Here is a 4,498-nt window from a genome sequence, read left to right as displayed (position 1 = left end):
GGCATGAACCAGGGAGGCGGAGCTTTCGATGAGCCAAAATTGCACCACTGCACTCCAGCCTGGGGGACAGAGCGACACTCTGTCTCAAAAAAAACAAAAAACAAAAAACAAAAGAAAAAACTCATCACCAAATACTATCACATACTGGAGGACACCATTCAGCCCAAACAATACCTCATCTTCAATCTCCACATGGTTCTTACCCAGATACCTCTATCATAATATTTAATACTTTATTAGTTTAGAAGTACAAAGAAATAGGAATAAAAGAGCGATTATTCTAGATTTTGTACCAGCAAAAACTATAGTCTCGCAGATATTTTATGCAACTACAGTTGCCCCTTGAACAACACAGGTTTGAATTGTGTGGGCCTACATATACACACGGAATTTTCTTTTTTTTTTTTAAGAAAGGATCTTGTTTATATATTACAATGAAAGTGAGCATCACAGAAAAATGCATATTTGATCTGATTTTATATAATTCATAGGCACCAAAGATACCATATACTGAACATATAACTGAAAATTTAAAAAGTAGCATTAGTTGCTGTCTTTCTTTTTTTTTAATTTTATTATTATTTTACTTTAAGTTTTAGGGTACATGTGCACAATGTGCAGATTAGTTACATATGTATACATGTGCCATGCTGGTGTGCTGCACCCACTAACTCATCATTTAGCATTAGGTATATCTCCTAATGCTATCCCTCCCCTCTCCCCCCACCCCACAACAGTCCCCAGAGTGTGACGTTCCCCTTCCTGTGTCCATGTGTTCTTATTGTTCAATTCCCACCTATGAGTGAGAATATGCGGTGTTTGGTTTTTTGTTCTGGTGATAGTTTACTGAGAATGATGATTTCCAATTTCATCCATGTCCCTACAAAGGACATGAACTCATCATTTTTTATGGCTGCATAGTATTCCACGGTGTATATGTGCCATATTTTCTTAATCCAGTACACAGAATTTTCTTTAATAACCATTACACTGAGTGTATCTACCACTCTTGCCTTCACTTTCACCTCCCCTACCTCTTCTGCCTCTGCCATCCCATAGACAGCAGAACAAACTCTCCCTCCTTGTCCTCTTCCTCAGTCTACCCAACATGAAGATGACAGGGATAAATACCTTTATAGTGATTTGCTTCTACATAATAAATAGAAATATATTTTCACTTTCTTATGATTTTCTTAATATTTTCTTTTCTCTAGCTTACTTTATTATAAAGAATACAGTATATAATACATATACAAAGTCTGTGTTAATTTACTGTTATCAGTTAGGCTTCTGGTTAGCAGTAGACTACTAATAGTTAACTTTTTAGGGGGCCAAAAGTTATACACAGACTTTTGGCTGTGTAGGTGGTCAGTGCCCCTAATCTTTGTATTGTTCAAGGGTCAACTGTAAAGCATGACTTTTGACTAAATAAAGCTAAATTTTTGAAATGATAACAAAGCAGCAAGCATTTAGTAAGAAAATAATTCTAGAAAGAAGATGGCAAAATAGAATCATCCAGCAGTTGTTCCCCTGCAGGAACACAAAATTGAACAACTATGTATGCAAGAAATTACCTTCAAAAGAACCAGAAAATCAGGTGAGCGATTACAGTACCTAGTTTTAACATAGTATCAAAAAAAGAGGCATTGAAGTGGGTAGAAAATACATTCTTGCATTGTCTACAGCATCCCTCCCCCAGTAATCAATCCTGGAGTGACAGAGATAAAAAGATAAAAGAAAATCTTTAGCCAAATTAAATTTAAGGGAGCTTAATTTTGCAATGAGTGATTTGCAGATTTGGTGGCCTTCTGAGCCAGGGTAGTCTCAGAGACTTTAGCACAGCCATTTGGTGGAAGAAGATTTATGGACCGAAAAAGGAAAGTGATATCCAAAAAATGGAAGTGATGTACAGAAACAGCTGAATTGGTTACAGCTCAGTTTTTGCCTTATTTGAATATGTTTCAAACAGTTGGCTACATTTGACTGGCCGAAACTCAGTCATTTCTGGAGGTGTCAGCTTTGGTCTGTTTACACCTCCACTTGTTAATAATAAATTTCAAGATAACATAGATAAGGAATTCAGAATTATATCAGATAAATTTAATAGATATTGAAATAATAAAAATCAATCAGAAGATCTGTAGTTGAAAAATTCAATCAATAAACTGAAAAATGCATCAGCATCTCTCAACAGTAGAATTGATCAAGCAGAAATAGAATTTGTTAGCTTGAAGAAGGCTATATGAAAATACACAGAAGAGAAAAAAGAAAAACAATTAAAAACATGAGCATGCCTACAATATCTAGAAAACAGCCACAAAAGGGCAAATCTAAGAATTATTGGCCTTAAAGAGGACATAGAGATTGGAGAAGAAAGTTTATTCAAAGAAATAAAAACATAATTTTCCAAACCTAGAGAAACGTATGAATATTCAGGTACAGAAAGTCATAGAACAGAAAGTAGGGTCAACCAAAATGAGATTACCTCAAGGCATATATTATTCAGACTCTCAAAGGCCAAGGATAAAGAAAGATCCTAAAAGTGACAGCACAAAGAAGTAAATAAATATAAAGGAGCTCTGATGCATCTGGCAGCAGACTTCTCAACAAAAACTTTACTGTCCAGGAGAGAGTAGAATAACATTCAAAGTGCTGAAGGAAACACACACACACAATAAAGTTCAACTTAGAATATTGTGTTAGAATATTGTGTTAAGGGAGGAGACTACCCCTCATATTGTCTTATGCCCAATTTCTGCCTCCAAAGAAAGAAAAAGTAAAAACTAAAAGGCAGAAATTAAATCCACAGGCAGACAGCCCGGCGCCACACCCTGCACCTGGTAATTAAAGGTCGACCCCTGACCTAATTGGTTATGTTATCTATAGATTACAGACATTGTATAGAAAAGCACTGTGAAAATCCCTGTCCTGTTCTGTTCCATTTTAATTACTGGTGCATGCAGCCCCCAGTCTCATACCCCCTGCTTGCTCAATCCATCACGACCCTCTCATGCAAACCCCCTTAGAGTTCTAAGCCCTTAAAAGGGATAGGAATTGCTCACTCGGGGAGCTCGGTTTTTGGAGTTGTGAGTCTTGCTGAAGCTCCTGGTGGAATAAAGCCCTTCCTTCTTTAACTCAGTGTCTGAGGAGTTTTGTCTGTGGCTTGTCCTGCTACAGTGTCAAGCAACACTTTCCTTCAAACACTAAGGAGTAACATTTTCCCAGACAAAATAAGTTGAAGGATTTCATTAACACTAGACCAGTCCTCTAAGAAATGCTGAAGTGAGTTCTTCAGTATCAGAAAAAAGGATGTTAACAAACAACAAGAAATCATCTGAAGGTATAGAATTCACAAGTAATAGTAAGTACACAAATACAAAATACTCTAACACTGTCATTTTGGAGTATAAAACACTCATATCTTTAGTAGGAAGACTAAAAGGCAAACTTACCAATGATAACTACAACTTTTTAAGAAATAGCAAAAAACAATGTAACTAGAACAAAAAGTCAAAAAGTGAGGACAGGGATGGAGATAAAATGTAGAGGGTTTTTGTTTGTTTGTTTTCTCTTTACTTGTCTTTGTTATTTTCATTGTAATCAAACTTAAGTTACCATTCTAATTGGTTATAAGATGCTATTTGCAAGTCTCGCAGCAACCACAAAATGAAAAACAATAACAGATACACAAAAGATAAAAGCAGAAAATTAAAACATACTACCAGACAAAAACCATTATTATGATAGACAGGAAGGAAAGAAAAAAGAAACAAAGAGAGGACCAAGAAACCCACTAGAAAACAAATAACAAAATGGCAATATTAATAGTAAGTCCTTTCCTGTGAATAATAACATTGAACGTAAATGGACTAATTTTCCAATCAAAAGACAGCATGGCTAACTGGATTTAAAAAAAAAAAGACCCAACTAAATGGTGTCTGTATGAATCTTGATCTATAAAGATATATATAGACTAAAAATAAAGAAAAAAATCATGCAAATGGAAACAGAAAAAGAGCTGGAGTAGCTATGCTTATATCAGATGTAATAGATCAAGACAAAAATTTTAATGTGACAAAGAATGTCATTATATATAATAAAGCAATAACTTCAGTAAGAGAGTGTAACAATTGTAAATATCCATGCACCCAAAACTGTAGCACTCAGAGAGATAAAGCAAATATTATTAGACACTTAAGAGAGAGATAGATTCCAATTTGGTTAAAGCTGGAGACTTCAACATGCTACCCCACTTTTGGCATTGGACAGCTCATCTAGATAAAAAAATCAACAAAGAAATAATGAACTTAATCTGTACTATAGACTAAATGTACCTAATAGATATTTACAGAACATTTCACTCAACGGTTGCAGAATACACATTTTTCTCTTCAGCACATGGAAAATTCTCAAGGATAGACCATATTTTAGGCCACAAAACAATTCTCAAAAATTCTGAAAAACAGAAATCATATCAAGTATTTTTTCTGACTACAAT

The sequence above is a fragment of the Homo sapiens genome, chromosome 4 (genome assembly GCF_000001405.40).
Source record: "Homo sapiens chromosome 4, GRCh38.p14 Primary Assembly".
Taxonomy (NCBI): domain Eukaryota; kingdom Metazoa; phylum Chordata; class Mammalia; order Primates; family Hominidae; genus Homo; species Homo sapiens.
Note: the sequence above shows the minus strand (reverse complement) of the source record.